We start from the raw sequence: 26,738 nt of genomic DNA, 5'->3' as shown, positions 1-26,738 counted from the left end.
TACCATATTTTAGACCCTAAACAAAGTATGAGACCAGTCAGAAAATGAGTGAAATTCAGCTGTTATTGAATCCCTGATTGATTCTGTGCTGGGCACCATGTTGTGCACTTTCCCTCAGCTAAACACTTCCAAACCCCACAGCAACCTGGGGGAGACTGCCTAGCTTCACAGATGCAGGAAAAAAGTGAGTTGTAAAAAAAGTTGAACAGCTCCTCCAAGGGCACGCAACTACCAAGTGGGCAAGGTGGGATCCAAAACCAGCTCTAAATAACTGAAAACAACACTAATGCCTATTAGTGGGGGTTGGTTAAAGGACGTTTGTTGATCCCTTCTGGGGAATATTAAACAGCTGTGTAAAAGTATGAGCTGTTGCTGCCTAAGCTGCCGGCGGGGTGCGGGAGAGGGGGTATCAATGACTGATCATTGAGTCAAGATAGCCAGGCAGCATTCAGTTTGGTTGTGGATTCCATTTAGGCATGTGGGTATGAGTTTAATTTCTACAAGAGTGTATGTGCAAAACTATATGCATACACACACAATTTGTGTTAACAGAAAGGTCAAAGACAAGAGGTCTCTCAAGCTTTAGAGTAAAGAGCATAAGCATCAGCCGGTGAACTTGTTAAAATGCCTGATAGTACATCGCTCTGCTCCTACTAAAGTAGCATAGTGAGGGACCCAGAAGCACGTAGAATCTAGAAGCCCAAAATTCAAGTTATTTTCAGCGGTTTTGTCTCAGAGAGTGGGGATTTTTATTTTTAACTTTAAAAAAATTTCATATGATTGGAATATTTTTGAACAGGCAGGCACCACTTTTATACTACTAAAATGTAGTACACCCAGCTTTTTTTCCATTCTTTAATCTGGAACAGTTCCTCATTCTTTGTCTTTCATGATATTGACATGTATTAGGTTTGTGCAAAAGTAATTGTGGTTTTTGCCATGAAAAGTCATGGTAAAAACTGCAGCTATTTTTGCACCAACTTAATATGTAGAATGCCCCTCATCCTGGGTTTGTTTGATGTTTTCTCATGATTGAATCCAAGTTATTTATTTTTAGCAGGAATCCCACAGAGGTACCTGGTGTTGGTTTATCACATTATCAGGTATATTAACTTTGATCATTTGATTGACGGGATTTCTGCCAGGTTTTTCCACTGTAAATTTACGATTTTCCCCCTTTGGAATTTATATGCATGTTGTGGGGTGATATTTGGGGATTATGCAAATATCCTGTTTTTCATTAAACTCTCCCACTTGTTTTCTTATCCACTGAAAACCTCTGCCAGAATCAGTTATTTTTACAATGGGTTACCCAATGATTGGACTTCTTTTGTGAAAACATTTCACAGTGCAGAATCTTCGTAGGTTTGTGGAGGAGACAGGCAAATCACAGATAATTGCGGTGTAATGTAGCAATTGCTCCATAAAAAAAGTAAAGTGAGGGATGGCAAGCTACAAGCCCCTGGGTAAAATCTAGCCCAAAGCCTGTTTTTATAGGTAAAGTTTTGTTGGAACACAGCCATGCCCATCTTCTCCTTACCTAGTGTCTGTGACTGCCTTTGAACTACAATGGCAGTTGAGAGGTATAACCAAAGGCACGTGATTCACAAAGCCTTATAGGGTTGCTCCCTGGCCCTTAGAAAAAAGTTTCCTGACCCTTGATACAAGGCCTGTGGAGAGAACTCCTCTGAATGGTGCTTCAGTTCTGTGGAACTCACACACAGGGAGCATTCATTCGCTCTGCAGGCCCTCGGGGGGTATTCCAAGGCAGGAGTGTTCCTGAACTAGAACCTAGTCCTATGTAGGCTTTCCCATTTAGGTTAATACGCACACTACAAAGGAGCCATGCCATCTCTTACTTAAAAGAGATTAACTCTGTTTTGTTTAGGTGTAACTATACATTACCGACAAGACAGGAAATTATACCAAGTCAGAATGACTAAATACAATTACTGTAATTAGCCTGACCAAAATCTTTTCATGTCAAGGCACTGACGAGTCCTGTCAGAATGGCCTCTTTTTTTCTAGTACATATTTTGTACAACAAAACTCTGGAGAGGAAGAGCATTTAAACCATTCTCAGAGTGTGTAACATGAACACAGAACCTGTTTTGGCACCAGCCTGGTAAGGGTTATTGGGGAGGTCAAGAGTATCAGTTATTTACATGTGAAATCATGTTTATTTCCAGAATGTGTCTTGTTCACTAAAGTTCCCAACAGGATTAGGCTCAACTGAATGCATTGCTCAGAAAGCTGTGTTTTGTGGTAGTAAGAGGAAGTTCTGGAAAATCAATTAAGAACTCAAGAGTAACTTAATCTTGTTGATTGTTCTCTTCTATGGGGAACACCCATGTAATGCTAGAATGGCCAGCTCCAGGAAAGATCAGCATTTTGGGCCAAGCTTCTGTGATTAAAGGAAAGGAGAGAGTTAAATATATTTCTGGTGAATTTTGGCCACAAAAAGTTGATCTGGATTTTTCTAAAGCCAAAGCCACAATTTCTTATTGGCAAATGCCATCCACAGCAGATTCCTGTTTGACACAGTGTTGGGATGAGAAGGAGAAGATAATTTTAATGAGTGATATAGTTGTTATTAAAAATTATTGCTTTATGCTCTAGGGAAGAATGTGACTTTATTTATTTGGTTTTTTTTTTTTTTGAGACAAGGTCTCACGCTGTCACCCAAGCTGGAGTGCAGTGGTGCAATCATAGCTCACTGCAGCCTCAACTTCCTGGGTCCCGGTGATCCTCCCACCTCAGCCTCCCACATAGCTGGGACAACAGGCGCGTGCCACGACATCCAGATAACTTTCTGAAATTTTGTAGAGACGAGGCTCTTGCCATGTTGCTCAGGCTGGTCTTGAACTCCTGGCCTCAAGTGATCTGCCCACCTCAGGTTCCCAAAGCATTGGGATAATAGGCATGTGCCACCATGCCTGGCTGCATGAAATTCTAAAGCAGATAAAGCTATAAAAACACTGGACAAAATGCTAAAGATTTGGAAGGACATAAAGATGAAGCCCCAGATGATTCCAGAATGGCAGAGGATGGAAAAGGAAAAGTAGATTGATCAGTATAAGACTAAAGCACTGTGCTTCTGCCCAAGGCACTCACAGAAGGCAGATAGAAATTAAGCACAGGCAGCAAAGGACAGCTGGAAAGAAGAGAGGACCTTCCTTTTCTAGTCATCTGTAGCCACGTCTGATCTCAGAGTAGGGCATTGTTATACTTACCTTTAAATAAAGCAAACACCCTTTTACCCAGAAGAGTTGGGGGACAATCAGAATAATAAATATTCTACTTTCTCAAGAGCTCTTGAATTCCTTGCATTTCTTAAGAGTTTCCTAGACATTTTCACATATATCAATTTGTTTATTATCACCGCACACTCTGAAATAGGAATTATTAGCTCCTTTTTACAGATAGGAAAACAGAAAAGTAAAGTGACTTGCATCCTCAATTCAAGCCTCTTGATTTAAAATCAGTGCGTTTTACAGGGCACTACAGGGACCGTGGTCTACCAATGTATCTGTTATTGGATGTGTTGCTGGTTCAAATGGAGAGGCTCAAATGGAGGGGCTGCTTACGAGGTGTGGGCTGGGTACCGAGAACAAACAAAGATCAAGGTGCCCAGAGGCCTGCAAGAGTGGGGAGCAGTTACTACCTCTAAGAGCTGATGGTGCTCTCCACTCTCTGAGTGTTGGAGTGTGAAGTCGGGCTGCTTGGCAGGAGCTGGCATGAGGAGGGAGACAGGCGGTGCCAGTGACAGGCACTGAAGTGGGGAGGAAACACCCCAGCTTACCGTTCTCCCGGCCCTCAGTTCTTCAGCCAGAGCCTCCCACTGGCCATCAGGGAAGCCTGCTGGCATGAGGCCATCCTCATGGGCTGCCTCCCTGGGCAATGGAGTAGAATCCAGGAGAGGCGCGGGGAAGGAGTGAGGCTGTGAAAAGGAAGAGCTGGCACTTTGGCTTCCACAAAACTGGAAAACCCTGAAAAATACCTAACACAAAATTCAGTTAAACATAATTTGTACAGGGTCAGCCCACAGTACCTTATCTGAAGCTCTGTGGGCCAGATGTGTTCTAAAATTCGTAATATTTTGTATTCCAAGAAGAACACCATGGATATAAACTATATATTATGTAGCACACCCCAGCAGGGTCTAAGACAGCACTTTATAAAAAAACGCATTCGCATTTATGTACTGTAAGTGAGCTAAATAATAACTATAAATAACTTCTCATTAATTTAGGTCAGTGATTGCTATTACATGAATTTTGGGGCTAAACTTGCCCCTAAAAATTGGATTTCAGAATTTTTAGGATTTTGGAATTGTGAAGGAGGGATAAGAGATTATTGAACAGTTTTCTATTTTTCAAAAGATATTCAAGTATTCCTCTTTTCTTTTCTTTTTTTTCGTTTGTTTGTTTAAGACAGGGTCTTTCTCTGTCACCCAGGCTGGAGTGCAGTTGTGTGATCTCAGGTCTCTGCAGCGAGCCTCTGCAGTGAGGCTGTTCACTGCAACCTCAACCTCCCGGGCTCAAATGATCCTCCCACCTCAGCCTCCCAAGAAGCTTGAACTACAGACATGAGCCACCACACCTGGCTAATTTTTAAAAAGTTTTTCTAGAGATGAGGCCTAATCATGTTGTCCAGGCTGGTCTCAAACTCCTGGATTCAAGGGATCCTCCCACCTTGGGCCTCCCAAAGTGCTAAGACTACAGATGTGAGCCAACACACCTGGCCTGATATTCTAGGATTTTATGGCATTTTATTGTCATTATTATGAATGCTGGTTGTCCCTGTATAGTCTTTCTTTTACTATCAAATTGTATATATACATATATATACATATATAGACACACACATTCATATATGTATATTTATATATGTATATATGTATTTTTTATATATATATCCTTTTTTGAATACCAGAAAAATGGGTAATTTACCTTATATAGCTTTAAATATTATTAATTAAAAGATAAAAGAGGATGGCAATTTAGTTTGCAAAAAGAGGATTTGTCCTGGAAATGATTCATAGCAGCATTCCTCTAAATAGTAAGCACACTGGTAGTTACAATGTGGCTTTGTTGACTAAAAGCAGAGTTGCACACTCCTTTTCCTGTGTGGCATTGACTGCTATGTTAATAAAGGGTGGGTCCCTGAAAGTGAAGAGAACCTCTCTGGGGCTCCATCCATCTGAAGGGTTGGTGCTCTCCGGAATGCCCAGGTGAGCAGTGTGAGGAATTGTTTCTTGGAATTCCGTGGGGATCGTTCATGGTAATTGCGTTGGCAGGCATTCCTGGTCTCCAAAGCTCTGAAAACTGCAGTTCTCAGAACGACTTAACAGGAAGCCTCACCCACTAACAGAGGAAGCTGAGGAAGGAAGGAAAGATGGCAGTGCTGGGGGAGGGTCCATCTATTAAACAATGAGCAAAGTCATGTGCCTTGGGACCAAGTCTAGGTGGCTAGAGGAAGCACCCCCATTCACATCTTCCTCGCTGCCTCCCAAGGCTCTGCTAGGTCCCTGTGTTCCTGCTGGCCCAGATCATTCCTCATTTCCCAGGTTGATTCAGAAATGTCCTTCCTCAGGACATTTGTGCTCAGGGCTCTGAAGCATTAGAGGCATTTGAACTAGAGCAACTCTATCTTGAATAGGAGCTGGGTAAAATAAGGCTGAGACCTACTGGGCTGCATTCCCAGATGCTTAAGGCATTCGAAGTCACAGGATGAGTTAGGAGGTTGGCACAAGATACAGGTCAAAAAGGCCTTGCTGATAACACAGGTTGCAGTAAAGAAGCCGGCCAAAACCCACCAAAACCAAGATGGCAACAAGAGTGACCTCTGGTTGTCCTCACTGCTACACGCCCACCAGTGCATGACAGTTTACAAATGCCATGGCAATGTCAGGAAGTTACCTCATATGGTCTAAAAATGGGACACATGAATAACCCACTCCTTGTTTAGCATATCATCAAGAATTAACCACAAAAATGGGCAACCAGCAGCCCTCGGGGCTGCTCTGCCTATGGAGTAGCCATTCTTTATTCCTTCACTTTCATATTAAACTTGCTTTCACTTCATAGATTCACCTTGAATGCTTTCTTGCATGAGATCCAAGAACCCTCTCTAGGGGTCTGGATCGGGACCGATTTCTGGTAACACTATCTCTGGACTACTCTTCTCCATGCTCCTCGTCACCTCCAATTCCACTGCTCACTTATATCGTCCTTCATGACCTTCAAAGTCAATGCTCACTTCTTTCACGAGTCAGTAACTGCTGCCTTCTCTCCACTCTGGCACCCACAACACCCAGCACTCCACGACAGGCCCCATTGTGTGATGTCCCCCTCCCTTCGTCCATATCTTCTCATTGTTCAGCTCCTGCTTATGAGTGAGAACATGCAGTGTTTGGTTTTCTGTTCCTGTGTTAGTTTGCAGAGAATGATGGCTTCCAGCTTCATCCATGTCCCTGCAAAGGACAAGAACTCATTCTTTTTTATGGCTGCATAGTATTCCATGATGTATATGTGTAACCTTTTCTTTATCCAGTCTATTGTTGGTGGTCATTTGGGTTGGTTCCAAGTCTTTGCTATTGTAAATAGTGCTGCAATAAACGTATGTGTGCATGTGTCTTTATAGTAGAATGATTTATAATCCTTTGGGTATATACCCAGTAATGGGATTGCTTGGTCAAATGGTATTTCTGGTTTTAGATCTTTGAGGGATTGCCACACTGTCTTCCACAGTGGTGGAATTAATTTACACTACTCACTTACTTCAAAAAAATTAATTCATCAAGAATTTAGTTAAAAACCTACCCCATGTAGTATGGTGCTAGGCTTGGGATTTGAAGATAGAGTTCCTGCATTCTGGAACTTACTGTCTAGTGGGAGAAAATAGGCAGCATCAGAACAGAATGGCTTGATAGCACAGAAGAGGGACGTGCGACCCAGACTTGGTGTGTGCTCATAGGGTGTGGTCAGGGAAGGCTGAATCTTCAAGGACAAGTGGGAGGTGGGCTAATGAATGGTGGGTGAAGGATGCTGTTGGCACGGAGAACAGCATGGCGCAGGGCAAGCAGTTGGAGGGTCAGAATGTGTCCCGAGAACTGCAATGAACTGACTGTGGCTGCTATATGAAGGTCAAGCAAGAATGTGGCAAAGATAGGACCAGAGAAGGGTCAAGCTGGATGGGGAGAAGAGGCCTGATCATACAGGGTCTTGCAAACCTTGCTAAAGAATTAGAGAGTTTAGTCCATGGTGCCTTGTAAGTGGCCTGGATAGATGAGGCACTCAGTTATGTCACAGGTCAAGATACAATTACCTGGTATCTGAGGTTGAGTTCCCACAGAAGCGATTCTGAGACAAAGATTCGAGTGCAAGTAGGTTCATTGGGAGATGATCCGAAGAGCTACTGGGGGAGTGAGGGGAAATGGGTCAGGAAAAAGAAGGCAGCTGATACAGGGTGCATTGATCAGTAGGTTGCTGCTGTGAGCACCTCGGCTCAGATTGCTGGAAAACTGTAAGACATGCTTCAGAGACATCCTACTCAAGGGTGGAGGAGCCATTGTTTGGAGGCTGCTCTCAGGGGCATGTATTCCCCATCACTGTGGCCTGCCCTGTGTGAGGGCAAGAAGGAGTTGCCAGCTGGAGAGAACACACAGGCAGAGAGCGCTGGGTGTCTGAAGAAGCCCTGGCCCCTGGCCATGTACAAGAACAGTGAGTGATAGGGTGCAGTGGGGCTCAGCGTCTGCCACATCTGGTTATTCAGATGGAATAATGTGGAAAAACATTATTGGCTCTTGCTATGAGAGTCAGGACCGTAAAGAGGTGGCATGCTCAAGGGGGTAATGGAAGAGAGTTTGATGAAGGGACGATTCACAGAGGCTTGGGCAGGGGAAGCACCAGGAGCTAATCCTTCTAGGCCCCAAGAGGAGGGAACCCGGCCTTCTCACCGCTCAGGTGTGATAACTCTGAGGCTGGCTCCCCACCATTGCCCAGCGGTCTCAGCTGAGCTGCTCAGCCATACACCTGCTCATCAGTGCACCCTGTATTGGCCACATTTGCTCCTTCCTTTTCTGATCCACTTCCCTACTACCCTAAGTAGTCCTTCTTGGGATCACCTCCCAATTAACCTACTTGGTGGAATAGGGTGAGAGCCAGAGTTGAGGGAAAGAGGGAACATTTTTGAGGGAAGTTGAGGGAAAAAGGGAAAGAGGTTTCCCAACAACCTCTTTCTCCTGCCCAATAGGAGTGTGGTCTTAGGTAGAAAACTGCAGCCCTGCCAAATTACAGCTTGTTGGCAGGAACCGAAGGCAGAAACAGTGTCCCCTCTCTTGTCCAGTCCCTCAGCCATAGGAACTGAAAAACAGAGGCCAAGGAAGCCCTAGCAACATGGTCTGTCCTGAGAGAAGCGTCTGCAGGGCACAGAGCAGGGAGAGAAGTGGAGAGCTCACCTGGAGGGGCAGATGGAGAAGACCCAACATGCCCTTCTCACAGCAGAGTAGCTTTTCACCTACCCTATTCAGACCAGCTTCTACACTGCCAGAAAACTCATCACTTCATGGCAAAGCACAACTTTACCCAACAATGTCTTTTATTTGTGAGCACCTTACCATTTACAATCACTTTTCACTGACCCTGTATTCCTTTTGCCACAAAATAATTGATCAGCTGGGCAGAGCAGGTGCTAATATCCACCCTCTGTTTGAGCCAAGAGTTCAAATCTTATCTTTGGATTCAGAGTCCAGCGTTCTCTTTCTTACATCATGTCTTCCCAAGAAACAGCAAGTCAATGCTGCTCAGCAATGACCACATTATTCATCTTTACTATGACATCTTTGAAATAGCTTAGTTGGTACTTGGAGTCAGTTACCAAAGCCATGATTTCTAGAGGTCCCTCTTAGCTACAAATTTCTTTTTCTTTTTCTTTTTTTTTTTTTTTTTTTGAGACAGAGTCTTGCTCTGTCGCCAGGCTGGAGTGCAGTGGCACGATCTCGGCTCACTGCAACCTCCACCTCCCGGGTTCAAGCTATTCTCCTGCCTCAGCCTCCCGAGTAGCTGGGACTACAGGTGCCTGCCATCACGCCTGGCTAATTTTTTTTGTATTTTAGTAGAGAAGGGGTTTCACCCTGTTCAGGATGGTCTCAATCTCCTGACCTTGTGATCCACCCACCTTGGCCTCCAAAGTGCTGGGATTACAGGCGTGAGCCACCGCGCCCAGCCAGCTTCAAATTTCTTAATATAATAATGATTTGATTTAATGTGTCATCTTAGAGGTGACCTAAAGTGGGAATATCTTAGCTCCATAACTGTGCAGTTCTATGTAAAATCTACTTACGCAGAGGGAGACTCACAGAACTAGAATCATTAGATGCCTACTACGTGCCAGGGAACTTGTGTACGTCATCACTTTGCAGATGGATAGTATCATCTGACTCCACATTCCATATTCTTCTGCTTCAATAAAGGTTGCTAATGGATTATGGCTAAGAAAACCCATGCTTGTTATTTTTAGAAACACAACAAGCATAAATGCACTCAGAGGAATCATTTTTTGGGTCCTCAATGACGGCATGACGATGTCTCTTGCAAAAATGTACCCTTCAGCTTTGCAGTCAGCAGTGGCTGGGAGCCGGGGCTCTGGAGCTAGACTGCCTGGCATCAGCCTCTGGCTTGTGACTTATCACTTTTTCACTAGGTAACCTCGCTTCATTCCATCTCCCGTGCCTCAGTTTCCCTGTCACTAAATTAGAGCTCATAACACTCCTTACCCATAATAGTCATTACCCTTGTAATAAACATTGAAGTTAATGGTGCCTCGCATAGCATAGGTACCTCAGTAAGATCAACTGTAATGATTATGTCTGCATTGTCCTATCAACCTGATATGTTCTGTAAATAAGTATGTCTTCAACCCATGGCCTGGCCTAGAGAATGTAGGGGGTGACCTTAAAAGGCCAAGAATCCAGGACCTAGAGAGAGACCTACGGGGGCTGGGTGCTTTCGTGCCTGGGCAAACTGATAATGCCACATGCAGATGGGAGAGATGAACTCGCCAAGCAAGTGGCACACTGAGGGGTGGGCGGTTCTAGTAGGAAATATATTTTGGTCTGTGGTTCCTCTGAGCCATTTTTGTCTTTGCCAAATGAGCCCCTTGGGAAAATGAAGCAGCTCGATCTATATAAATAACCACCATTTGGGAGAGGAAGTGAGAGATTTCCCTAGAGAGGGCAGGAAAGGGCTGTGGGGCTCAGTGTCAGGCCCAGCACCTGGCCCGTGGGGGACACTCAGAACTATCCAACCAGTGGATGGGTTTCAACGGCTTTCATTGTGAAAGGCCTTCTTCCCTCCTTGGACAGAGGACATTGTCTTGTTGCGGGTGGCGGCTATGGAGGCTCAGGTTCTGTTGGGCTTACCTTGGCTGAGTCAGGTCGGATACCGGTCTCCTCACTTCTAAGTTGAGGATGGGGGACTCTGGATCCCTGCTGCGTCTCCTGAGAGAATGAAGGTTGCCGACACCCCTAACACACTCCGTAGTGATGCTACAGGGGAAAGGACAGGGAGAGCTCTTGCCTTTTCATGGGAGTCAGAGAGTGCCGTGGGAAGGGGGTGTCTTCAATTTATTCACTCACTCACTCTCTCACCAGTGATTGAGTGTTATATTAGTTTCCTAGGACTGTGGTAACAACTAGGCGGCTTAAACCTTCTGACATTTATTCCCTCACGGTTGCAGGACCAGCCTCCCTCTGAGGCTCTAGGAGACGACCCTTCCTTGCCTCTTCCTAGCTTCTGGCATTTACCAGCCATCTTTGGCATTCCTCAGCTTGCAGTTACTAACTTCAATCTTGCCTCTGCCGTCAGACGAGTTTCTTCCCTCTGTGTCTCAGTCTCTGTGTCTTCACATGGCTTCTTGCAAGGACACCAGTCATTGGTTTTAGGGCCTACTCTAATGGAGTATTACCTCACCTTAACTAATTGTGTCTGCAAAGACTCTATTTCCAAATAAGGTCACATTCTAAGGTTCTGTGTGGACATGAATTTGGCAGAGGGCTGGTGGGAGGACACTATTCAACCCAGTACAGGTGACTTCTTCATGCCAGGCACCCTGACAGCTGGCCTGGATGTGAAGATGAGTAAGACCCCACAATCTGACAGTTACTGAGGAGGCAGACACATAGTGAGTCACTGTAATTCCATGAGATTAGCATGAGCTAATATCTGACATTGATTGAACTTTTACTAAGTGCCTGGCACTATTCAGTGTACATTTAAACTCATGATCCTCATAGCAACCCTAGAGGTATGTAGTACTATTATCCCCATTTTACAGATGAGGAGGCTGAGTTCCAGGGAGGATGAGTACTTGCCACAGGTCACAGGCCTGGTCTCCCTGCCTGTGGAAGTCAGGGCAGGCTCTTCTGAGGAAGTGGCACTGGAGTAGAGACTTGGATCAGGAGAAAACAGCAACTATAGGAAGGCTGGAGGGCGGATGGGGTAGGCAAGTGTTCCAGACAGAGGCAAAAGCCATGCCAAGCTTGGCAAGCTTGAGTCAGGCTCAAGTTTAGCAGGCATAGGGAGATGAAGGAGGCACCTGTGGCTGGAGCCAGTGCCAGGCAGCAGAGTGGGGTGAGGTTAGAGAAGCAGGGCCTCTGAGGCCGTGGTGAGGAATCTGGGTCTGATACTTTTTCTTTCCCTTTTTTTTTGAGACCAAGTCTCACTCTGTCATCCAGGCTGGAGGGCAATAGTGCGATCTCGGCTCACTGCAACCTCAACCACCTCCCAGGTTCAACCGATTTTCCTGCACGCCAGCACTCCTGGCTAATTTAATTTTTGTATTTTTAGTAGAGACAGGGTTTCACCATGTTGGCCAGGCTGGTCTCGAACTCCTGACTTCAGATGATCCACCCACCTAAGCCTCCCAAAGTGCTGGGATTACAGGTGTGAGCCACTGTGCCCGGCCTGATTTGTTCTTTACACAAGTCTCTCTGGCTGGGAATGGAGAATGGACAACTGTAGGTAAGGGTGGAGGTGGGGAGCCCAGATGGGGTCTGGGTTATCCCTAGCAGGACTTGCTGATGGATGTGAAGGGTGAAAGGGAACGAGAAAGCACTCACGTTAGGCCTGAGTGACTGAGGACTGAGGATACCCTGAAGAAGATGGGAAGGATGGGGTGGGGCAAGAGGCACGGCCTGAGGAAGGACTAAGTCAAGGACTAAGACTGTTAGGCACCCAGTGGTCCTTGAAGCTGCGGGACTGAATCCGGATGAGGACGCTGTGGCTGAGAATCCTGCTGGTACCCATGGCAGGGGCTGGGGTTCCCAAAGCTGGCTGCCCAGTAGAAACCCCTGGAGAGCATATTCAAAATACAGATTCCTGGGCCTCATCCCAGACTGAAGCTTAACATACGAGGGTCCAGGAATCCGTAGTTTCAACAGACCTAGAATGATGTAGCAACAGCTTACTTTTACTAAGCACTTCCTTTATGGACTTTTTTAATCTCATAAGAATTCTGCGAGCTAGATCCATGTCCCCACCCATGTTGCAGCTGAACACACGAAGGCTCAGGGCAGCTGGGTAATTTGCTCAAAGTCTCACAGCAAGTTCCAGCATCCGTGGGAAGAGGAGCTGAGCCACGTGATCTCAAACCCTAAGCGGATTCCAGGCATCTCCTGAATCTTCACGCTGCTTCCTTTCCATCCGGAGATTTCTTTATTGTCTGGGGCTGACTTCAGAAAAGCCATGTTCCGCTTGCTCCTGAGTCTCGGTTCCAATATCTCAGCTGTCTGCCCATCTCCTCTTTGAGTAAATGTTTAAATCGAATTTAAATTTTCCCTCTTCAACCTTTCTAAATAAAAATAAATCTTGCCTTCTGGACTGTGTCTGCCGCTTCCCGTTTATTGGAGAGCTCCATTTATCGCACACAGCGCTCAAATCACTGACACCTGCGAACAGAGCAGCTCTAGGGAGTCCTGGCAAACCCGGGCCCGCCGCCTCCGCGGCTGCTCCCGCCCGCCGGGCCTGCGCTGCGCCGTCCTGGGCTGCGCCCGGTGGGGTCTGGGCCTGCGGCGTGAGGACCTCTTTCGCTTCTGGGCTCTTTGACCTTTTCATTTAGCCGCGGTCCTACTGGCTCCCTCCAGGTGAAAGGCTAGCGAGGGGCCACGTCCCAGACTGACTTCAGGCCCACGGTCACCATTACCAAGCTTCCAGCTTTTAAATAACACAGACAGGGCAGCGCACGTGTGGCTCACGCCTGTAATCCCAGCACTTTGGGAGGCCGAAGCCAGTGGATCAACTGAGGTCAGCAGTTCAAGACCAACCTGGCCAATGTGGTGAAACCCCGTCTCTACTAAAAACACAAAAATTAGCCGGATGTGGTGGTGGGCGCCTGTGATCCCAGCTACTCGGGAGGCTGAGGCAGGAGGATAGCTAGAACCGGGGAGGCAGAGGTTGCAGTGAGCCAAGATCCCACCGTTGCACTCCTGCCTGGGGGACAGAGCGAGACTCCATCTCAATAAATAAATAAATAAATGATTAAATAAAAATTTAAAAGAAAAACACAGACTCAGCGGCTTTTTTTTTTTGTTTCTGTTTCTGTTTTGTTTTGTTTTCTTTATTTTTAAGGAGTTAGGTCCCTGGATCCTTGAGAGACAAATTGTCTGAGTGAGGAAGGGAGACTGCTGAGTTTGCCTGCCTATTGAATCCCATTTCATTTCCAGAAAATTCCCTCTTTCCTACCTCCATGCCCCCTCCCCCGTCCCCTTCTCTTTGCTGCAGTTTACCAAGATATACCAGCAGTAAAGATTCTTGTTCAGAAGGCCCTGCAAAATCAAAAATGCAAAAGAGACATTTTCCTCTCCTTTCCCCAGCCGTCCTCTCCCCTCCTTGTTCTGCCAGAAACCCCACCAGCTTGCCAGGAGCCACCCAGGAACAGATTTCCTCTCTAATCTGTTGCATCTGTTCACTCACTCCTACTCCCTGTTAATCCCTCCAAATGCACCGTTTGCCACAAATGGGCATGAGACAACTGGCAGCGCGACCTCAGGGCTGATTCATGTGGCTCCAGCCACTCTCATTTGTTCTGTTTCTCTCTGAAATGCAGGGAGGCAGCCACCTCCATTCTGCTCAGCGAAGTGACACTTGAGAACTCTAGTCACAGGGCCAGTTCCAGTCTGTGAAGCCAAGCCTTTGTCATTTATATGTTTGTGCTCATCGATTTTACGCTGATGATTTAGTTATATTTATCTGGGAATGGTTCCGATTCAAGCCATGGGAAAGTCAGGAGACTTGGGTGGTATTTATGGTTCAGTAATTGCCTTGTTGTGGGGCCCTGGCTCAGGAAATAATCCTCCCGGAGCCTGCATTTCTCCATTTTGAAAACAGTGAGAAATCTTCCATGTAACAGCTATTTGTCAGGTGCACTGAAATCTCTTCATAAAAGTATTGGTTTATTTATTTTTTTCTTCCTTTTCCCTTTCAGTTATTCTGTAGTACCCCCAATGCATCCTTGGCACCCAGGAAATCTGCATAGAGAAGTGAGTACTGCACTGTTAGGGATGGCATGCGTTCCCCTCAAATTCATATGTTGAAGCCCTAACCTCCAATGTGATGGTATTAAGAGGTGGAGCCTTTAGGAGAAAATGAAATCATGAGGCTAGAGCCTTCATAAATGGGATTAGCGTCCTTATCAGATGAACCGACACTAGAGCTTCATGCCTCCACCGCATGAGGATACAGTGAGAAGGCAGCTACCTGCAAGCCAGGAAAAGAGGCCTCGCCAGAACCTAATCAGCTGGCACCTTGATCTTGGACTTCCAGTTTTTAGAACTGTGGGGAATAAGTATCTGTTATTTAAGCCACCCAGTCTATGGTATTTTGTTATAGCAGTTTGAGCTAATACATTATCATTCTAATAATTTTTCTCCGTGTTAATATGATCACCTGTAAACATCAATGTGCATCTTTACAGATACATATATAAAGTATATGCCATTATTTCATATATTTTTTTCTGTATCTTGCTTTATTCCTCTAGCACCTAATGGAGCCACTTTTGTTTTTGTTTGTTTGTTTTTGACACAGGGTCTTGCTCTGTTGCCCAGGCTGGAGTGCAGTGGTGAGATCTTGGCTCACTGCAACCTCCGCCTCCCAGGTTCAAGCAACTCTTGTGCCTCAGACTCTCAAGTAGTTGGGATTACAGGCACCTGCCACCACACCCAGCTAATTTTTTGTATTTTTAGTAGAGATGGGGTTTCACCATGTTGCCCAGGCTGGTCTCAAACTCCTGACTTCAAGTTATCTGCCCGCCTCGGCCTCCCAAAGTGCTGGGATTACAAGTGCCAGTCACCATGCTGGGCCAAGGAAATCACTCTTAATTCACCTGGTTCAGGTTCAATTTATACTTTTAAATGGCCACATATAACTCTGGTGCAGTTCTATTATAATTTCTTCAGCTATTCCCATGTAGATGATACTCACTTTGTTTCCTGTTTTTTGTTTTGTTTGTTTGTTTTTTGCCTGTTTACAAGGTAGTATACTTCTGTGTATCTAAGCTTTTTGGTTTTGAAGCTTTTGTTCCTATGGGATGGATTTTCAGGAGTGTGACTTCTGGATAAAGGTGTATATATTTTAATCATAACAAATGTGGCCCAGATTTCTTTCCAAAAAGACTGCATTAATACAGTCTTTCCAATACAGTATAATAATACTGTATTTCCAATCACAAATGTACTAAAGTCCCCACATTCTCTTTAGCAGTAAAGATTATCAATCTCTCTCATTTTTTCACCTGATCAGAGTAAATTCTTGTCTCATTGTAACTTTACTTGGTAGCTCCCTGATTGCACATGAATTTGAACCTCTTTTCACATATGCGTTGGTCACATGGATTTTTTTGTGAATTGCCTTTTCACGTCCAGAAAAGTACCACTTTTCTGTCTTGGTACTTATCCCTGTCTTGTTTGTTTTGAAGGAGAACTACAAACCACTGTTCAATGAAATAAAAGAGGATACAAACAAATGGAAGAACATTCCATGCTCATGGGTAGGAAGAATCAATATTGTGAAAATGGCCATACTGCCCAAGGTGATTTATAGATTCAATACCATCCCCATCAAGCTACCAATGACTTTCTTCACAGAATTGGGAAAGACTACTTCAAAGTTCATATGGAACCAAAAAAGAGCCCGCATCACCAAGTCAATCCTAAGCCAAAAGAACAAAGCTGGAGGCATCATGCTACCTGACTTCAAACTATACTACAAGGCTACAGTAACCACAACAGCATGGTACTGGTACCAAAACAGAGATATAGACCAATGGAACAGAACAGAACCCTCAGAAATAATGCCGCATATCTACAACTATCTGATCTTTGACAAACCTGACAAAAAGAAGAAATGGGGAAAGGATTTCCTATTTAATAAATGGTACTGGGAAAACTGGCTAGCCATATGTAGAAAGCTGAAACTGGATCCCTTCCTTACACCTTACACTAAAATTAATTCAAGATGGATTAAAGACTTACATGTTAGTCCTAAAACCATAAAAACCCTAGAAGAAAACCTAGGCAATGCCATTCAGGACATAGGCATGGGCAAGGGCTTCATGTCTAAAACACCAAAAGCAATGGCAACAAAAGCCAAAATTGACAAATGGGATCTAATTAAACTAAAGAGCTTCTGCACAGCAAAAGAAACTACCATCAGAGTGAATAGGCAACCTACAGAATGGGAGAAATTTTTTGCATTCTACTCATCTGACAAAGGGCTAATATCCAGAATCTACAATGAACTCAAACAAATTTACAAGAGGAAAACAAATGACCCCATCAAAAAGTGGGCGAAGGATATGAACAGACACTTCTCAAAAGAAGATATTTAGGCAGCCAAAAAACACATGAAAAAAATGCTCATCATCACTGGCAAACAGAGAAATGCAAATCAAAACCACAATGAGATACCATCTCACACCAGTTAGAATGAGGATCATTAAAAAGTCAGGAAACAACAGGTGCTGGAGAGGATGTGGAGAAATAGGAACACTTTTACACTGTTGGTGGGACTGTAAACTAGTTCAACCATTGCGGAAGTCAGTGTGGCGATTCCTCAGGGATCTAGAACTAGAAATACCATTTGACCCAGCCATCCCATTACTGGGTATATACCCAAAGGATTATAAATCATGCTGCTATAAAGACACATGCACACGTATGTTTATTGCGGCACTATTCACAATAGCAAAGACTTGGAGCCAACCCAAATGTCCAACAACGATAGACTGGATTAAGAAAATGTAGCACATATGTACCATGGAATACTATGCAGCCATAAAAAATGATGAGTTCATGTCCTTTGTAGGGATATGGATGAAACTGGAAACCGTCATTCTCAGCAAACTATCGCAAGGACAAAAAACCAAACACTGCATGTTCTCACTCATAGGTGGGAATTGAACAATGAGAACACATGGACACAGGAAGGAGAACATCACACACCAGGGACTGTTGTGGGGTGGGGAGACGGGGAGGGATAGCATTAGGAGATATACCTAATGCTAAATGACGAGTCAATGGGTGCAGCACACCAACATGGCACATGTTTACATATGTAACAAACCTGCACATTGTGCACATGTACCCTAAAACTTAAAGTATGATAATAATAAAATTTAAAAAAAGAAATGTAAATGTCCAACAGGCAATTAAATCTATACACAGTTTTTTAAAAAAAAGAATTCTCTGTATATTATAGCTATTCACCCTCTATCTGATCTCTGAGTTGACAGTCTTCCCCTGCTCCCCAAGCTAGTGTTTACCTATTGCCTTAGCATCTTATTCCGGTTGGGCTCCTACAATAAAACATTTTAGAGTGGGTAATGTATAAACAACAGGAATTTATTGCTCACAATTCTGGAGGCTGGAAAGTGCAAAACTAAGATGCCAGCAGTTTTGGTGTTTGGTGAGGGCCTATTCCTCATAGATGACACCTTCTGTGTCCTCACATGGCAGAAGTGATGAACAAGCTCCCTCAAGCCTCTTTTATAAAGGCACTAATCCCATTCATGAGGGCAGAGCTCTTATAACCTGATCACCTCCCAAAGGCCTCACCTCTTAATACTATCACCTTGAGGATTAGGTTTTGACATATTAATTTTGGGGGGACACTTAAAATTCAGATCGTAGGACTTAGCTTCTGGTATCTTTTCCAAACAAAAGTTTTTCATATTTATCTGGTCAAATATGTGTATCTGTCCTTTTATAGCTTCTGAGTTTCCAACCTTAATTAAAAAGCTCTCACCCACCTTAGTTTTTTGTTTGTTTGTTTGTTTTTTTCCTCTTTGAGACAGGGTCTTGCTTCATCACCCAGGCTGGAGTACAGTGGCTTGATCACTGCAACCTCAACCTCCCAGGCTCAAATGATCCTCCCATCTCAGCCTCTTCAGTAGCTGGGACTATAGGCCCCAATACCACACCCAGTTAATTTTATTTTATTTTTTGTAGAGATGGGGTATCTCTTTATGTTCTCCAGGCTGGAAAGGTCCATTTTAACTTTCTTCTGACTGGATAATCATTCTAGCATCTCTACTTAATACCTAATTCCTCCTCATGGGATTAAAAATATCATTTTTCCTCTTTATTTTTATTTCATTTTAGATTCAGGGGTTATATGTGCATGTTTGTTAGCTGGCATATTGCATACTAGTAGGAATTGGGCTTCTAGTGTATCCCTTACCTAAATAGTGAACATTGTACCAGATAAGTTTTTTTTCAACCCTCATCCCCCCTTCTACCCTCTCCCATTTTTGAATCCCCAGTGTCTATTATTTCCATCTTTGTGTTTATATGAATCCATTGTTTAGCTCCCACTTATAAGTGAGAATGTGCAGTATTTGGTTTTCTTTTTCTGAGTTAGTTCACTTAGGATAATGGCCTTCAGCTCCATCCATGTTGCTGCAAAAGACATGATTTCATTTTTTATGGCTATCTAGTATTCCATGGTATATATTTCTTTATCCCATCAACTGTTGATGGACACTTAGGTTGGTTCCATGACTTGAATAGTGCTGCAATGAACATATGAATGCGGGTGACTTTTTTATAATGTGTTTTCTTTTCCTTAGTCTCACTGCTAGTGAGACTGCTGGGTTGAACTGGTAGTTCTGTTTTTAGTTCTTTGAGAAATCTCCATACCATTTTCCATAGGGATTGAACTAATTTACATTCCCATCATCAGTGTATAAGCATTCCCTTTTCTCCACATCCATACCAACATCTGTTGCTTTTGACTTTTTAATAATAGCCATTCTGACTGGTGTAAGATGGTATCTGATTGTGGTCTTAATTTGCATTTCTCTGATAATTAGTGATGAGCATTTTTTCATGTGTTTGTTGACTGCTTGTATTTCTTCTTTTGAGAAATGTCTGCTCCTGTAGACATGGCTAGGATTGCCATTTTTAATGGGGTTGTTTGTCTTTTTCTTGTTGAGTTGTTTGAGTTCCTTGTAGATTCTGGATATTAGTCCTTTGTCAGAGGCATAATTTGCAAATACTTTTCCCATTCTATAGGTTGTCTGTTTACTCTGCTGATTATTTATTTTGTTATGCAAAAGCATTTTAGTTCAATTAAGTCCCATTTGACTATTTTTATTTTTGTTGCATTTGCTTTTAAGGTCTTCAGCATAAATTCTTTGCCTAGGCCAATGTCCAGAAGAGTTTTCCCTAAGTTTTCTTCTAGGATTTTTATAGTTTCAGGTCTTATACTTAAGTCTTTAATATACCTTGAGTTAATTTTTATATATGGTGAGAGATAGGGATCCAGGTTCATTCTTCTGCATATGTCGAGCTAGTTTTCCCAGCACCACTCATTGACTGGGATGTCCTTTCTCTGTTGTTTATTTTTGTTGACTTTGTTAAGGATCAGTTACATGTAGGTATGTGGCTTTATTTCTGGGTTCTCTGTCCTATTCCATTAACCTATGTGTCTAATTTTGTAGCAGCACCATGCTGTTTCAGTTACTATAGTTTGGTAGCATAATTTGAAGTCAGGCAGTGTGATGCCTCTAAATTTGTTCTTTTTGCTTAGGATTACTTTGGCTATTCGGGCTCTTTTTTGGTTCCCTATGAACTTTAGGATTGTTTTCTTCTAATTCTGTTAAAAATGATGTTGGTAATTTAATAGGGATCGCATTGAATCTGTAGATTGCCTTGGGCAGTATAGTCATTTTAATGATATAAATTATTCCAATCCATGAGCATGGGATGTTTTTCCACTTGTTTATATCATCTACAATTTCTTTCATCAGTGTTTTGTAGTTGTCCTTGTAGAGATCTTTTACTTCTTTGGTTAAATGTATTCCTATTTTATTCTTTTGTGGCCACTGCGGGGATTGAGTTCTTTTTTTTGGATTGAGTTATTGATTTGGTTCTCAGCTTGAATATTATTGATATATAGAAATGCTGCTGATTTCCATATGTTGATTTTTTATCCTGAAACATTACTGAAGTTGATTATCAAGTGTAGGAATCTTTCAGAGGAGCCTTTAGAGTTTTCTAGGTATACAATCATGTCATCGGTGAACAGAGATAATTTCACTTGTTCTTTTCCAATTTGGATGCCTTTTATTTCTTTCTCTTGCCTGATTGCTCTATGACTTCCAAAAATAATTTTTTAAAAATAGCTTTTTTGAGGTATAATTTATATACCATAAAATTTAACTTTTGTTAAGTGATTTTAGTAAGAAGTTGATAGTTTTACAACCATCATTGCAATTCAATTTTAGAACATTTCTATAACCTCCAAAAGTTTACCTGTTTACCTTCCAGCCTAGGTAATCTCAGATATGCTTTCTGTGTCTGTAAATTTGCCTTTTCTAGACATGAAAAATCATTTTCATCCTATTTGAAACATAAATATATTATTACATCTGTTCAGGATTCTCTATTTTCTTTTTAAATGTTTACTTTTATTTTCATTATTTTTGAGGCAGTCTTGCTCTGTTGCCCAGGCTGGAGTGCAGTGGTGTAGTCATCACTCACTGCAGCCTTGGTCTCCTAGGCTCAGGTGATCATCCTGCCTCAGCCTCCCAAAGTGCTGACATTACAGGCATGAACCACCACTCCTGGGTAGGATTCTCTATTTTTTCCCATTGAGTCTTTTGTCTATCCTTCAACTTAATAGAAATATGAGCAAAGAACATAAAGAGTTTTTGGGAAAAAAAATACACATTATTCTTAAAAGATACCCTCACTCCTGATAAGAAGTACAGATGAAAACTATGCTAAGATGTCATTTTTCACCTCTTATATCAGCAGCAATCCAAAAGTTTAGTGACATACTGTGTTGACGAGTTTTGGGTGAACACACTCTCACATTGCTGGTAAGAGCATAAGCCCTGGGCAATTTGGCCAAATTTCAAATGCATATTCCCAGCAGTTCTACTTTTGGAAGCTTATTCTATATATATTTTTTCATTAAGAAGAAAAAGTACATATTTTGGAACATTGCTTTTCGTAACAAAATGTTAGAAACCATGTCCTAGGGGACTCGTCAAATTATAGTATATTCATATGATGGAGACATGAGGCTGCTGTATAATAAAGGACAAGAAAGCTCTTTTTGTACTACAAATACCTTAGAGGCATATTAAGCAGAAGCAAGATTCAATGTGTACAGTATTAACATTTGTGTAAAAAACAATGGAGAAAAGATTTTTGTACTCATATCTGCTTGTCTATGTATAAAGAAATTCTGGAGGGATACATATGGTGGGGGGTAAGATGGAACTGGGCAGATGTGGGACAAAGACAGAAGAAAAATATTCACTGTATGTTTCTGTAACTTAATTTTAATTTTATATTAAAAATTTACCTATTTTCTCTTAGCTATCTTAGGCATTGACTTTTCCACATAACTTCCAAGATAATTTTATTCAGTTTTCACCTTCCCAACACTATTGGCATTAGAAGAGTAATCACATCAAACTTATATCTGAATTTTGAGAGGATCAAGTTTTAAATGACAGTCATCCCTCTGTGCCCAGGACTTCCTCAGGTACTCAGACTTTCCTAGAGAAGAGCCATCATGGTGGAGGAGAATAAACAGCACCAATCATCCTGTAATCATTGATTCAATTCATTCAAACATTTTTTGAGCACCTGCTATGAGCCAGGGGATACGATGGTGAACAAAACAGGCAAAAAGGTCCCTCACAGAGCTTACGTTAGAGTGAAGGCAGATAGACAGTAAGTGAGTAAATAAGTTAAATCATGGTGCATTAAATGGTGATCAATATAAGGAAAAAATGAATCAGGGAATTGTAATAGTAGCTACCACAAGTTGGAGTAGGGGGATGCCATTTTAAATAAGGTGATCAGGAAAGGGCTCCCTGGAAAGTGACATTTAAGCCAAGAGAAGGTGAGGGAGCAGAGCCTTTGTAGAGCTGGGAGGTGCATTCCAGGACGAGGAAATCTGGTCAAGGGCAAGCCTGCCTGTGTGAGGGTAGCAAGAAGTCCAGTGTGGCTGAGCTGGAACGAGTAAGGTGAGTCCAGATAAGTGAGGCCTTGGGGACCAGCATATGGAGTTTGGCATTTTCCTGAGGTGGAAGCCACTGGAAGTTTCTGAACAGAGGCATGGCATGATCTGACTTACGGATTGAAAGGATCACTCTGGCTGGTAGCTGGAGAACAGCCTAAAGTGGCAAAGGCAGAAGCCAGGAGACCGGTCAGGAGCCCAACACAGTAATCTTGACAAGAGATGGTGGATGATGGCAACTTGGGCCAGGTTCACACCAGGGAACATTCTGGATATATTTGGAATGCAAAGCCAAGACAATTTTCTGACTGATTGGCTGATTTTTTATTTTTGCAGTTATATTTAATTAATCTGCTGTTTTTTTCTTTTACTACTGAATTACAGAACTTTAAAAAAATTTTCTATGGCCTAGAATTATTTAAGTAGCATTTTAACTATCTGTTTGTAAAAGTTAAAACTCAGCTATGACACCATCTGGTATTACTGTCTGTTTCAATGTTAGTTTTAAAGTCACCTTTTCCATATTCTCTATGGCAATTAATGTTTTTTAAAAAATTTCCCAGTTCTTTTCTGATTAATTTTGATATTTTGTATATTGTTTAAAAGATCATACTTTTTTGTTTTCACTTTGTATCGATTTATGACTTTTAATTTCTTCTGTAACATGGTTGTACCTCCTTTTTTATTTTTAAACTTACATGTTTTTACCCTCTTTTACCCTTGATGAAGTTCATTTAATCTATTTATCTTTTCAAATAGTTTATTTTCATTTATTCTTTCATTATTTTTATTGGTTTATATTTCAGTAATGTTTGATTTTGTCTTACTAATTTCACCTTATAATTTCTCCTGGCTTATTTTCTTACTTTTAAAAAATTTAATTTCAAGTTTGAAAGAATTAATGAAATAAACCTGAAAATATAAATAACAGCAATTCTTGGCTAAAATAAGAATTTTTTTCTTTAAAAGTAAATTGGGATTAGTAGGATAGAACAGATATCAATATTTCTTTTTGCTCCTATAATATGCATCTTCCTTGTTTTTGGCAACTGAACATCAATCTCCTTTTGGGAACATGTTCTCCTTCATCCTCAGTCTACGTGATCCCACCTCCAAGCTCCAAGTACAGGCCTGTAACTCAAGACTAGCTAATCAGGGTTCTGTATCTGTCTGGGATCAGCCAATGGTCACATGACCCAAGATGGACCAATCAAATCTCTTCCCAGCATTTGCTAGAACTATTGGAAAGATGGTCCCTCTGTTCTTCAGAGGTTTCAAGTACTAAGAAGTAAGTTGATCCGGAACTGTCAGAGGCTATCTTTGTTGCCATTAGAACCAGTCTGAGAATGAAGTCTGAGAATAAAGTCAACATAGAACAGGAGAGAAAGAGATGGATTCTATTTTTTTTTTTTTTTTTTTTTTTGAGACGAAGTCCCACTCTGTCTCCCAGGCTGGAGTGCAGTGGTGCGATCTCTGCTCACTGCAACCTCCACTTCCTGGTTTCAAGCGATTCCCCCACCTCAGCCTCCTGAGTAGCTGGGATTACAGGCACTCGTCACCATGCCCAGCTAATTTTTGTACTATTAGTAGAGACGGAGTTTCCATGTTGGCCAGGCTGGTCTCGAACTCCTGACATCAAGTGATCTGCCCGCCTTGGCCTTCCAAAGTGCTGAGATTACAGGCATGAGCCACTGTGCCCAGCCAGAGATGGATTCTTAATGACATCAACTGTACCATTGGTTGTCATGTCTGGAGCTGATTTGATCCCTTTGAACATTCTAGTTATGTGGGCAAATAAACTCCCACTTTTGTTCAGTGAGTTTGAATTTGGTTTGTATCACACACCGTAGGATGAATTTTGACTGACACAGACCACCTGGTGCCATTTTCCATGAGAAGCGGGTCTCCTGGCCGAGAAGGACTAGTCACCCCAGACATTTCAGGTCGTACCTCTCTGGCTTTCCCAGGTGCATCCCTCACTGTTCCTGACTTCCTCCTTCTTGGAAGTGCCCATCCCTTGGCCTCTTCAGCACTGCAACTTCCACATTACTTGGTCCTCCAAGTCTTCTGGTTGTCTGTTAGATGTTGGTATTTATTTAAGAATATCAGGGGGGAAAAAGTAACTTTTAATTAAAAGCTGGATGCAGTTTGAACTTTTGACTTGGGAGAAAGGCAGAATTGCTTAATTTTTTGGTTACAGAACCACATCCTTAATAGGCCCATTTTCCTGGAAAAACAGGAAGGCTGCAAAGAGCCCAGCCTGGCCAGGGTAGAGGAAGGAGGACAGGAAGGAGCTGTGCTCAGGAGCAGAGGCCTGGAAGGCCTGGCTGGAACCCAGCTTCTCAGACTAGTGTATGCATAGCCTTTGCAGTACTGCAGGGAAATAGGACAAATACAGTATGTTTCTTCTGGGGGATCCATTGTACTCAAGGACTTGGAGAGAATAGAGTACTTATAAATTAAAACAGATTATTGTTCAGAATAAAAGGAAAAATTCAAGTGCATCTTTAAGACTTCAAAGAAATCGTATGCTTACGCAGGTTGCTTCAGCCAATGCATCCCAGATGTTCTGGTGATATACAATTAAGATATACTTTTCCCACCTTAAGGCCTTTTCCTGACCCCATATTCGCCTCCAGCTGGGCCTGTTTCATCAGATTCCTTTATAGCAAAACTCACTCAAAAAGTGGTGTCTAAATTTGCCATTGCCATTTCTTCTCATCCTATTCTTTCTTGAATCCACCCAATCAGTCTTTTGCTCCAATTTCACTTCTGTTAAGTCCCTAGTAGTTTCCACGTTGCCAAATCTAATGCTGTTATCTGCCCTCAGCTCACTGTTCAGCAGCAGAAACTGACAGAATGTATAAACCTCTTCTTTTTTTTAATAATAAGTATGGTTTATTCATATACTGGAATATTATACAACAATGGAAATGAACTAATTACGTTACACACAACAACCAGGATAAAAAAAAAAAGAGTTTATTCTTAGCATAGAAAAAAAAATGCATAAACCTCTTCTGGAATACTCTTCATTGACTTCCAGGACATTACATTCTGCTAGGTCTTGTCTCACAGTGGTCACCTCTTTTCAGCCTCCTTTGCTGGTTCTTCTGAATTCCCAGACCACCTAGTATGAGGGTCCCCTCTGATGGCTGCTCTGTCCATCCACATGCTCTGATCTGTGATCTTAGCCAGTCTCACAGCTTTAAATATCATCTATAGGCTGACAACTTCCAAATTGATAGCCCCAGCTTGGACCTTTCCCCTGATCCAACTGCATACCTGACATCCCCACTTGGATGTCTAATATGCATCTCAGACTTAATACACTCAAAAAGGAAACTCATCTTCCCTCAGTAAAACTGCTCCTGTCCCAGTTCACTAAATGGCAGCTCTATCTTATCTATTGTTAGGCTTCAAGCCATGAGTCTTTATTGATTCTTCTTTTGCTCTTATACCCTACAATCAGTCAGAAAATTGTCTCGGCTTTATGTTCCAAATATATCCAGAATTTTCCCTGGTGCCACCCTGGCCCAAGTTGCCGTCATCCATCATCTCTTGCCAAGATTACTGTGTTGGGCTCCCAACTGGTCTCCTGGCTTCTGCCTTTGCCATTTCAGGCTGTTGTCCAGCTACCAGGCAGAGTGATCCTTTCAATCCATAAATCAGATCATGCCATGCCTCTGCTCGGAACCCTTTAGTGGCTTCCACTTCAGGGAAAAGCCAGCTGGTCCTCAAGGCCTCACTGAGCTGGACTCTCCTTGCTCATTCACAGGTCAGCTCTGTGAGGGACCTTTTTGTCTATTTTGTTCACCATTGTATCCCCTGGCTCATAGCAAGTGCTCAAAAAATGTTTGAATGAATCGAATCAATGACTGCAGGATGAATGGTGCTGTTTATTCTCCTCCACCATGGTGGCTCTTCTCTAGAAAAGTCTGAGATTCTCTGTGGGAAGCAGCCAAGGGCCATGCAGGGTTTGGAGCAGGGAAGAGACTGGTGACAAAGAGTTTTAGAGCAGTTGTTCTGGGGATAGTGTGGAGAATGGATTTGGGAGTGCACAGAGAGGATGCAGAGAAAACTAGGAGCAGGTTGACCAGTAGGAGGTCACTGTAGTTGTCAAGAAAAGAGCTAAAGATGACCTTGGAGTTTAAGGGACACCCGACATTTGGAACAGGCTCTACCCCACAGGCAGACTCAGTT

At 42.7% G+C, this 26,738-nt stretch overlaps 1 protein-coding gene across 2 annotated transcripts in view; it reads right to left on the bottom strand.

Annotated features, from left to right (window-relative positions):
- The window catches only part of TBC1D19 (TBC1 domain family member 19), a 282,243-nt gene that overhangs the window by 41,239 nt on the left and 214,266 nt on the right, over nucleotides 1-26,738 (bottom strand). Inside the window, exon 23 of one of the 2 annotated variants that reach the window (XR_001741277.2) lies at nucleotides 3,352-4,000. The exons of the other annotated variant lie outside the window; for it this stretch is intronic. The gene's annotated coding sequence lies outside the window, so the exon portion shown is untranslated. Of the gene's footprint in view, nucleotides 1-3,351; nucleotides 4,001-26,738 lie in introns of those variants that run through there. 2 annotated transcript variants of the gene reach the window in all.

Source organism: Homo sapiens, chromosome 4 (assembly GCF_000001405.40).
Source record: "Homo sapiens chromosome 4, GRCh38.p14 Primary Assembly".
Classification (NCBI taxonomy): Eukaryota; Metazoa; Chordata; class Mammalia; order Primates; family Hominidae; genus Homo; species Homo sapiens.
This window is presented reverse-complemented; position numbering and strand designations above follow the sequence as displayed.